We start from the raw sequence: 12,006 nt of genomic DNA, 5'->3' as shown, positions 1-12,006 counted from the left end.
AATAGGAGTGGTGAGAGTGGGCATCTTTGTCTTGTTCCAGTTCCTAGAGGAAAGGCCTTCAGCTTTTCCCCATTCTGTATAATGTTAGCTGTGAGTTTGTCATATACGGCCTTTAATTTGTTGTGGCATGTTCCTTCTGTGCCTGTTTTGTTGAGAGCTTTTATCATGAAAGGATGTTGAATTTTTATCAAATGCTTTTTCTGTATCTATTGAGATGATCATATGGCTTTTGTCCTTCACTCTGTTGATGTGATGTATCACATTTATTGATTTGCATTTGTTGAACCATACTTGCATGCCTGGGATAAATCCCACTTTGTTATAGTGGGTTTTTAAAATGCGCTTTTGGATTCAATTTGCTAATGTTTTGTTGAGGATTTTTGCATCTGTATTCATCAGATATATTGGCCCAGAGTTTCCTTTCTTTCTTTATTTATTTTGTTTCATCTTTGTCTGGTTTTGGTAACGGGGTAATGCTGGATTCATAGAATTAGTTGGGAGAGGCTTCTCCTTTTCAATTTTCTGAAATAGTTTGGAGAATTGGTGTTAATTTCTTTTCTAAAGTTTAGTAGAATTCAGCAGTGAAGTCATTTAGTCCAGAGCTTTTTCTTTTGTTGGGAGAGTTTTGATTACTGCTTTGACTTCATTACTTGTTATTAATCTTTTCAGGATTTTCTATTTCTTCCTGTTAAAGCAAACTATGGCCTGAGAAGGACTCCGTACTTCTATATTTCAGTCCTTATGGATGAACTGTAACCTAGCTTAATAGGCAGACAAGATCGAAAACCTAACTTAGGAGTATGAGCCTGGAACAATAGCTGAGTCTTGGCCAATCCCAGTGGCCATATTTCAACCACTCATAGACTGCTAAGTGTTCATACTGTGTTCAAATAAGGCAAACGCCAACCTTTAACCAATCCAGGTGTTTCTGTACCTCACTTCCGATTTCTGTACGTCATTTCTCTTTTTGTGTCTGTAAGGTTTTTTTGTTTTTTTTGTTTTTTTTTTTGTTTGTTTGAGACATAGTCTCGCTCTGTTGCCCAGGCTGGAGTGCAGTGGCACAATCTCAGCTCACTGCAACCTCCGCCTCCTGGGTTCAAGTGATTCTCCTGCCTCAGCCTCCTGAGTAGCTGGGATTACAGGTGCCCACCACCATGCCCAGCTAATTTTTTTTTTTTCTTATATTTAGTAGAGATGGGGTTTCACCATGTTGGTCAGGCTGGTCTCAATCTCCTGACCTCAAATGATCCTCCCACCTTGGCCTCCTGAAATGCTAGGATTACAGGCATCAGCCACTGTGTCTGCTCTGTCTATAAATTTGTTCTGACCACAAGGCATCCCTGGAGTCTCCTGAATCTGCTGTGATTATGGAGGCTGCCTCATTTGCAAATCGTTCATTGTTCAATTAAACTCCTTTAAATTTAATTCAGCTGAAGTTTCTCTTTTAACATTTCTGATTCAATCTCGGTAGGCTATATGTGTCCCAGGAATATGTCCATTTACTCTCGCTTTTCCAGTTTGATAGTGTATCATTATTCATAAAGTCTCTGATTATCTTTTGTATTTCTGTCTTATCAGTTGTAATGTCTTCTTTTTCATTTCTGATTTTGTTTATTTGGGTCTTCTGTCTTTTTTCTCAGTCCAGCAAGTGATTTATCAATTTTGTTTATATTTTAAAAAACACAACTTTTGTTTCATTGATCCTTTGGTGTTTTGGGTTTTTTTTTCTTTTTAGTCTCTATTGTGTTTAGTTCTGCTTTGATCTTTATTATTTATTTCCTTCTACTAATTTTGGATTTGGTTTGTCCTTGCTTTTCTAGTTCCTTGAGGTGCATCATAAAATTGTTTATTTGAAATCTTTCTACTTATTTGCTGTAGGCACTTATTTGCTATGAACTTCCCTCTTAGCATTGCTTTTGCTGTATCCCACAGGTTTTGGTATATTGTGTGTGTTTCTATTTTCATTTGTTTCAAGAAATTTTTTTATTTCTTCCCTGGCCCAGTTGTCATTCAGGGGCATATTGTTTAATTTCCATGTATTTGTTCAGTTTCCAAAGTTCCTCTTGTTATTAATTTCTACTTTTATTCCACTGTGGTCTGAGAAGACACTTCATATAATTTTAATGTTTAAAAATTTTTCGATACTTGTTTTGTGTCTTAATATATCATGTATCCTGAAAGAATGTTCTGTGTGCTGATGAGAAGAATATGTATTCTGTAGCTATTGGGGGAAATGTTCTGTAAATATCTGGCAGTCCATTTGGTCTAGTATGTAGTTTAAATTATTTTTTTTTCTGTTAATTGTCTGTCTAGATGATCTGTTTAATGCTGAGAATGAAGTGTTGAAATCCCCGACTATCATTGTATTGGAATCTATCTCTCCCTTTAAATCTAATGTTTGCTTTTATATCTGGGTGCTCCAGTGTTGGGTGCATATATGTTTAGAATTGTTATATATCTTCTTGCTTAACTGATCCCTTTATTATTATATAGTGATCTTCTTTGTCTTTATTAACTGTTTTTGACTTAAAGTCTGTTTTATCTGATGTAAGTATAGCTACTTCTGCTCACTTTTGGTTTCCATTTGTATAGGATATCTTTTTTCATTCCTTTACTTTTAGTCTACATGTGTCTATGTGTGAGATGAATTTCTTTTAGGCAGCATTTAGTTGGGTCATGTTTTTTTCTCCATTCAGTTAGTCTATATCTTTTCAGTGGAAAGTTTAATTCATTTACATTCAAGGTTATTATTGATATGTGGGGACTTATTTCTGTCATTTTATTAATATATTTCTGGTTATTTTTTGTATCCTTTGTTCCTTTATTTCTCTTTTATTGTTTATCACTGTGGTTTGGTGGTTTTCCATAGTGATAATGTTTGAGTATTTTTCTTGTTTTTGAGTTTACTCTATCTGTGGGTTTTATATCTGTATGTGTTTTCATGATGGTAGATATATTTCTTTCACTACTGAGTGTAGAATTTCTTAAGCATTTCTTGTATGACTGATCTAGTTGTGATGAATTCCCTAAACTTTTGCTTGTCTGGGAAAGGCTTTATTTCTCATTCACTAATGAAGGATAACTGTGCTGGTTATAGTATCCTTCACTGACCATTTTTTTTTCTTTCAGCACTTTAAATATATCATCCCATTCTCTCCTGGACTGTAAGGTTTTTGCCAAAAATCTGCTGTTAGTCTGATGGGAGTTCCTTTATAAGTGACTGCCAAGACCAGCTCGGTTGGGGAGACCCTAACTCAGCAGCGCCAGAGGAATTAAAGACACACACACAGAAATATAGAGGTGTGGAGTGGGAAACCAGGGGTCTCACAGCCTTCAGAGATGAGAGCCTCAGACAGAGATTTACCCACATATTTATTAACAGCAAGCCAGTGATTAGCATTGTTTCTATAGATTATAGGTGAACTAAAAGTATTCCTTATGGGAAACAAAGGGATGGGCCGAAATAAAGGGATGGGTTTGGCTAGTTGTCTGCAGCAGGAGCATGTCCTTAAGGCACAGATCGCTCATGCTATTGTTTGTGGTTTAAGAACACCTTTAATAATCCCAGCACTTTGGGAGGCCGAGGCGGGCGGATCACGAGGTCAGGAGATCGAGACCATCCCGGCTAAAACGGTGAAACCCCGTCTCTACTAAAAATACAAAAAATTAGCCGGGCGTAGTGGCGGGCGCCTGTAGTCCCAGCTACTTGGGAGGCTGAGGCAGGAGAATGGCGTGAACCCGGGAGGCGGAGCTTGCAGTGAGCCGAGGTCCCGCCACTGCACTCCAGCCTGGGCGACAGAGCGAGACTCCGTCTCAAAAAAAAAAAAAAAAAAAAAGAACACCTTTAAGTGGTTTTCTGCCCTGGGTGGGCCAGGTGTTCCTTGCCCTCATTTCGGTAAACCCACACCCTTCCAGTGTGGACGTCATGGCCATCATGAAGATGTCACAGTGCTGCAGAGATTTTGTTTATGGCCAGTTTTGGGGCCAGTTTATGGCCAGATTTTGGGGGGCCTGTTCCCAACAAGTGCTAGATGCTTTTGCTGTTTTTAGAACTCTTTGTCTTTGACTTTTGACAGTTTAACTGTAATGTGCTGTGGAGAATACCTTTTTGCATTGTATCTATTTGGGAATTTTTCAGCCTCTTGTATCTGGATGTTTAGCTTTCTTGCTAGACTTGGACAGTTTTCATCTATTATTTTGTTAAATAACTTTCATTTTGTCTTCACCTTCTAGGACTCTGAAATTTTGAATATTTGGTCACCTTATGGTGTCCTAATAGTCACATAAGCTTTGCTCATGTTTTAAAATTATTTTTTCTTTATTTTTGTCTGACTGGTTTATTTCAAAAGACCTGTCTTCAAATTTGAAGCTCTTTTCTTCTCCTTGATGTAGTCTATTGTTGAAGTTTTCAACTGTAGTTTCTATTTCATTCAATGAATTCTGTAGTTTCATAATTTCTGGTTGATTCTTTTTATGATAACTATCTCTTTGGTAAATTTCTCATTCATACCTTGAATTGTTTTTCTGATTTCTTTGTATTTTTCAGGATTCTCTTGTATCTCACTGAGCCTCTTTAAAAATCAATATTTTGAATTCTTTTTTTAGGATTTTATAAATTTCTTTTTTTACTTAGATATGTTACTGGAGAATTATTATGTTCCTTTGGAAGTGTCATACTTTCTTGCTGTTTCATGTTTCCTGTGTACTTATATTGACATCTGTGCATTTGGTGTAACAGTTGCTTCTTCCAGTTTTTGAATTTGCTTTCATAGGGGAGGACTTTTTCCTGAAGATGTATCTATGGTATTGTTTGTGTAGGAAACTTTGGCCTTGATTCTGGGTGTGTACAGTAATGTAGTCTCTGTATGATTTCTATGGCTATAGGCAGTGTTAGTGATGTCTGTGATTTCTTCAATGGCTTAGGATGAGGTCATTAGTGGAGGCTGTGGTGAAGTATTGCTGGGGACTGGGACACCAGGTGGGCCAGTCTTTGGGACCTAATGGTGACAGTGGTAGGCTGAGTGTGTCTGTCCTTAAGCCCGAGGGTGGCATATGCTGGCACCAGTGTTAGCGGGTCCAAGCATGCTGATTCTTGGGCTTCCAGGTGGCTTGTTCATATGCTGGTGGCAGTGGTTGGCTGGCAGGTGGGCAGCTTCTCAGGAACCTGGACAGTAGGCATGTTGTGAGTGATGGCAGTGGCAGTGGTGAGACAATTCTCTGGGTCCCAAGCAGTATGCAGTGGTGTTGGCAGTGGCTGCAATGGGCTAGGCCATCTAGTCTCCAGGTCTGCAGGTGTTGTGTGCAAGTAGGTGCCAGCTGCGGTGGTAGTGGAAGGGTGGGTGGGGCCAACCTCAGGCCCCCAGGAGGAGTTTTCAGGTGCTGACACTAGTGGACTGGGCTGGATGAACCTCAGGCCCACAGACTATATGCTCTGGCATGGATTATGGGAAAGCCAGCCTGAGCAGGCTTGTAGTCAGCTCCCCACAACAATGGTGCATACTGGCACTGGCTGTGGTAGGCAGAAACAGAGTGATCCCCAGGCCCCCAGCAGAATGCTTAGGGTTGTGGCAGCAGAAACTGCATTATGGCCCTGCTCCTGGAGAGGGTGAAGTTGCTTTCAGTGGCAGCAGTTATATGTAGGCGAGCTTGGTTTATGCTTCAGACCTAATGGCAGCAGCCCTTTCACTCACACTGTAGCCCCAGCAGCATAGTAACAACAGCTATGTGCAGAGGATTCTGTCTGGGTGTGTGAAAATGTGCAGTGGCTCTGCTTCTGGAGGGAGTGGGGTTAGTGGCCTGCACTTCAGCCTCAGTGGCAGCAGCCAGCTGTGGTGGTAGCTGCAGGTGGGGAATCTCAGTGGGCGCCAGGGCCATGGAGATGCAGGCACTGCTGGGTCCCAGGGAGAGTGCCGTTCGCATGGTGTTGGGCTCTCAAAATAGCACCTTGCACAGGAGCTGCTGATGCCTTGGGGATGTGTGGGATCCAGTGTGAACTCCCTCTCTGGGGCAGTGCCATTGTGTGGTCTCCAGGAAGCTCTCTGTTTTCGTCTCAGGGCCCCTGTGGGTCAGGGGCTCTACCATGGCTAGGACTGCAGGAGTCCACGCATGGCTGGGACTGCAGGAGTCCACGGTGAGAATGTGGACCACGAGGCATCTCTCACTTCCCTTTTCCCCACAATGGGGAGTCTCTACAGACTCCTAGCTGGTCCTGGCTGAGCAGGCTGCCTTGCTTCCCTTTTATTCCTTGCCTTAGGTGTTTCCTGACACTTCTCCAATGAATTCCAGTGTTTTTTTTGGATGACCTATTTGAAATGTGACTATCTACTCACTATTTAGGTTCTTCTTTGTGGAGGAGGCAAGTACCAGCCATCTTTAAGCCCCTCTGACTTGAACTTCTGAGAACCAGAATCTTCCTAGAGGCCTTAAGTACATGATGAGATGGTATCTGAAGAAGATGAATCTGTTTATTTGCAGTAGTGGAAGAAAACAGTGGCATAAGTAATCACAAATAGCAGATTATTATAAAACGATGTAGCAGGTGCTATAATATCCTCAATCTGTTTTTTTCAAGCTATGAGTTTCAGAATGCTAGGGCTCCTGGGAAAGGCCTTGGGGATGCTAAGTGGGGTGGGTGGATGAGGCAAAGCTGAGGGGAAGCGGGACTCAGCACCCCTCTCCCTTTCCCACCTTAACTGGAACAGCACTGCTTTTATTGTTTTAACACATGGAGTTCCAGATGACGTTTATTTTCAGACAAGAATTTAATAGATCTTAACTGAACAACATCAATTAATTACAGAAATACATAGCCAGACAAATGTGCCAGGAGGGGGTTGTTTGAGGATAAATACTTTGCTGGGCATTCACCTCCCAGGGCTGTTAGAGATTACTTCACATTTTCACCTGTGAGATACCAGCTCTGACGAGGGGAAGATTCTCCCGGAGAAGACAGATTTGGAAGGCTGCTTTGGAAGGCTGCGGATATGCCTGTGCCTCAGGAAACGATTGAACCTGGCTCACTTTATTCAACACACTGTGCCTTTCAACTCTTAGCCCGGGGGTCTGTCTCAGGCCCAGTCAGGCTCTGTCTTCAACTTGATTCCCTCAGCAAGTTCCAAGGCCTACTTTCCTCTTCTGGTAGCTACCCCCTGAGGCAGATTTGGAGTGGGGCAATTCCTCCCTCCCAAACCCTCCCCCCTTCTCTTTGTTACCCCAGACAAACATTCAAGAGCTTTTCACCCTGGATAATTAGACCAGGGCAACAAAAACAACAAACCTAGGGAAGTTACACAGGTTCTAGATTCTTATAAATATATTTTGAATACTGTGGCTTTTGTCTGCTTCACAAGAGATAATAATGGATAAATTCTGCCCTCCACATTTATTTATTTATTTTTATTTTATTTTATTTATTTTTACGAACGAGGCAATTTATTAACCTAGCATGGTTTGTTCTAATGCTTCTTGTTGTCAGCTGCCACCTCTCCGGTGATTCTGTCCACATCTCTCTGTCCCTGAGGTATTAGTTTGTGGCCCCCATCTTGGCCCTTTTCCACCATTTTCAGCCCCTCCAGGGCTTGGAGAACCTGGCGGGCCACACTCTTGGAGCCTCGACTGAAGTGGCTGGGCATGATGCCATCTTTGATGTCCCCCATCGATCTTGGTCATGGAGCCAACCCCAGAGGTACAGGTGCCGCGCTGTGGAAGCAGCTCGTGTGTAGAACCAGTTCTCATAACAGGGAGCAAGCTCTTTATGCTTGGCCACCCATTTGGGGATTTTCAGCTGCCCAGACTTTTTGAGAAAGGCTGCCAGAGCTCTGACGAACTCCTGCTGGTCCACATCTTTTACAGTAACTCCAGGCATCCTGCGGCCTCTGCGCTGCCAGCCGGGGGAAAGGGCCACATTTATTTTTAAATGACCTCACCAATGATCTTTCATTCAGTCCTGACTCTTAGATGTCCCCAAGGAATGATGTGAGCCCGCCCCTTGTCTTAGGAGTTCTCTGATCTTCTGTCCCACATGAAGAGGATCCCCTTTAAGCAGTTTCTCATTGTCATGCTTTTATCCCATTACTTCATACATGACCTTATACTATGTGTTCTGGGTTCTTTTTTTTTTTTTTTTTGAGATGGAGTCTCGCTCTGTCACCCAGGCTGGAGTGCAGTGGCACAATCTTGGCTCACTGCAGGCCTGCCTCCCGGGTCTATGCCATTCTCCTGCCTCAGCCTCCCGAGTAGCTGGGACTACAGGCGCCCACCACCACACCCGGCTAATTTTTTGTATTTTTAGTAGAGATGGGGTTTCACTGTGTTAGCCAGGATGGTCTCTATCTCCTGACCTCGTGATCCGCCCGCCTCTGCCTCCCAGAGCGCTGGGATTACAGGCGTGAGCCACTGCGCCTGGCTGGGTTCTTAAGGATGTGTAACAAATCACCCAAAATTTGACGGCTTAAAATAATGATTTACTATTTCTCATGGTTTCCACTGGTCAGGAATTTAAGGAGGTCTCCACTGGGCAGTTCTGGCTCAAGGTCTCTCATACGCTTGCAATAATATGTCAGCTGAGGCTACAATCATCTGAAGGCTTTACTAGGATAGGAGGATCCACTTCCAAGGTGGCTCATACACATGAATGGCAAATTGGTTGCTGGCCATTGTCCAGGGACTCAGTTCCTCTCCATGTGGGCCTCTCCACATTGCAGCTTGAGTGTTCCCATGGCAGCTGGCCTCCCCCAGGGCAAGAAATCCAAGAGACCAAGATGGGTGCTGGAATGACTTTTATAACTTAGCCTTGAACATCATACACTATCAATTCTACCCTCTTTTACTGGCCACAAAGGTCCAGCCCTGATTCAATGTGAAAGGGGATTACAAAAGGAGGCAAGGGTCATTGGAAGTCATCTTGGAGGCTGGCTCACCATACTATAGAAGGGCTAGAAGAAGACCAGGCTCAAATAAAAAGAAAAGGCAGCTAGTAGATGCCCTGGAATGCAAACTAGGTATTGAGTGAGTAAGAGAGAGTCTCTGCCCTCTTGAAGCTTATAATCTAGTGGGAATGACAAGTTTCATAAGAATAATTGCACTTGGAATAAAACCCAATATCCTGAACCTTGCCCCTACCTATTCTTTTCTTCTCCTCATCTCCTTTCTCACTGAGCGCCAGCCACACTTCATTCCTTCAACAGGCTGAGCTCTTACCTTCCTTAGGGCCTTTGTACTTTCTATTCCCCAGAATGCCCTCCCCTGATCTCTGCATGGCCAGCGCTTTCTCACCATTCAGGTCTCTGACTTAAATGCTACCTGATATTTTCTTGGGTATTTGTTGTCTGCCTCCCCCTACTAGAAAGTAAGCCACATGACAACAGAGACTTGTTAAGTCTCCTTCACTTCTACCTCCCCAGACCTGAAATGGCACTTGTTACATATTAAGTGATGAATATATAGCCTAATGAGCAAACGAAATACCCACTTTCTGACCAAATTGTATAAAATTTTCCTTCTAGAATATTGTAAACTCAAGCTCTATCCCTATTTCTTGGCCATCTTGCAATCTAAAGGTTGGTGAATTACAGACTTATTCTACGATCTAACCTTGCGGATTCCTTGCCGCTGAGCAAATGGGTACCTCTGCCATGCCTGATTTCTAGATCCAGTTACTTCTTCCCAGGCTGACTATATTATTTGTATTTTTCCACAGGACTGAGTCCTCCATTTCTGATTGCCTTTCCTTGGTTTCCTGTCCCAACTTTCCTCCCTCCTCCAAAGGAAGGGCAATTCCAGCCTTGTTTTGCTACACTTGTGTTTTCAGCTTTCTTGGGCTAAAATATTAAAAGCATTGCTCATTAGCAACCCAGATTTCCTGCTTTTCAGGGGAAACGACATGATGAGCAGGGCCCCATGTGTATTTATTTCAAAAATATGTTTTTTAATTTGAAAGCAAATGGAGGCTGCAGGTCTGCAGGTCATTTCACCTGCTGTGGCATGTGATTAGTGAGGCCTTTTCTCTCTGGGTGGTGATGCCAGCTAATGGACTCATGCTCCCTATGTATGTTTATCTTCAGTTAATTAAAATTTTGCCAAATCTTCCTCACAGCGCTTGTGCACAGCAAGGCCAAGCCTTGACTTGTGGCACTGATCCGGGCTGGCAAGGTAGATGGGGGCGGTCATCCTATTAAATATTAATCTAAGAAGGCAATCAAGCCTGTGGGCTTCCACCCCTGAGGTTCTCCCACTGGGAAGTCACAAATCAATGCCAGAGCTCCATGCTTGTGGCAACTTTTCCTGCCAGGCCTGAGTCAGCAAAAGACGCAGTTTTACCGAACAGTTATTTGACAATAAATCTGAGTAGAATTCTGGGAGATCTCTCTTAAATACTGGAATGAATTACACACACATCTACCTGGGAAGGGAATGTTAACTAGCTGGTGAAACTGTACCTTATGAATGATGAATGGGCCACTTTGCCAGGATTTATTTTGAAGTTACAGGTCAGATGAAGACGCTATAGCAAGTATCCTATACTTCAGACGGCAGTTTTGAAAATCTGCCTATGCCAGGGATGGGGGAGGAGATTAAAGGTTCAGTTGGCTCCCAAAGCCTCCATTGCCCCATTTTCAGAAATGTGGACATTGCCTCCTCAGAAGTTCACCTTCCTTCAATCACTTCAGTCACCTTCCTTCTGTCCTAGCTGCCAAGTCATTTCGGCAGATTCTTCTGCTGACAAACACGAAAGATAGAGCACTCTATTGTGGGCTGAATTTTGTTCCCCAAAAAGATACGTTAAAGTCCTAACCCCCAGGACTGTGAATGGGGCTTTAATTGGAAATAGGATCTTTGCAGATGTAATTAATTAAGATGGGTGGGCCCTGATCCAATGATGGTCATCCTTATAAGAAGAGATAACAGACACACACAGGAAGCCTGCCGTGTGACAAGGGAGGCAGAGATAGGGGTCAGGCATCTACAAGCCAAAGAATGCCAAGGAATGTCAGCAGCCATAAGAAGCTAGGAAGAAGCACATACGGATCTCCTAGAGCCTTCAGAGAGAGCACGGCCCTGCCACCATATTGATTTCAGACTTCCAGCCTCCAGAATTGTGAAAGAGTACATTTCTGTTGTTTTAACGCAGCAAGTTTGTGGTACTTTGCTATGGCAGCTCTAGGAAACTAACACACACTCTACTCCTAACCCTGATGCTGACTGCCATGGCCGTTTGCCTCCTCTACAGACCTCGTTGATAGGCTCAGTCACCCTGATCTCCTTCCCTTCCTGGGAGGAAGTGGGAAACTAGGCTAGGAAGAAAGCCTCATCACATCTCAAGTCTTGCCCATGATTTTTGAAACATCTCTGCCCACATTCTTGCCTAAGTAGGGGTCAGTGAACATAATAATATCTCTCTTTAATGAGGGAGAATGTCACTCTTCTTCAGGCGTCATCACTCTAAATTGAAGTCTCATGGGCTGGCATCACAGATACAGAGAGAATAAGAGCGATACATTTGTGCTGACCCTGACACATGTTCTAGAAATCAAATTTTTATTTTCACATTCCTGGCTAATTCTTTGTCTCTTCCAAAAGTTGAATGTTACAGGCCGGGCTTGGTGGATCACCTGAGGCAGGAGTTCGAGACCAGCCTGGCCAACATGGCAAAATCCCGTCTCTACTAAAAATACAAAAATGGCTCACACCTGTTATCCCAGCACTTTGGGAGGCCGAGGAGGGCAGATCACCTGAGGTTGGGAGTTCGAGACCAGCCTGACCAACATGGAGAAACCTGTCTCTACTAAAAATACAAAATTAGCCAAGTGTGGCAGCACATGCCTGTAATCCCAGCTACTCAGGAGGCTGAAGCAGGAGAATCGCTTGAACTCAGGAGGCAGAAGTTGCGGTGGGCAGAGATCATGCCATTGCGCTCCAGCCTGGGCAACAAGAACGAAACTCCATCTCAAAAAAAAAAATTAGCCAGGCGTGGTGGCATGTGCCTGCAGTCCCAGCTACTTGGGAGGC

General features: G+C 43.4%; 1 pseudogene; it reads right to left on the bottom strand.

Annotated features, from left to right (window-relative positions):
• On the bottom strand, positions 7,416-7,899 carry RPS19P2 (ribosomal protein S19 pseudogene 2; annotated as a pseudogene).

Source organism: Homo sapiens, chromosome 1 (assembly GCF_000001405.40).
Source record: "Homo sapiens chromosome 1, GRCh38.p14 Primary Assembly".
NCBI classification, from domain to species: domain Eukaryota; kingdom Metazoa; phylum Chordata; class Mammalia; order Primates; family Hominidae; genus Homo; species Homo sapiens.
The sequence above is the reverse complement of the archived record's forward strand: the minus strand, read 5'-3'. Positions and strand labels throughout refer to the sequence as shown.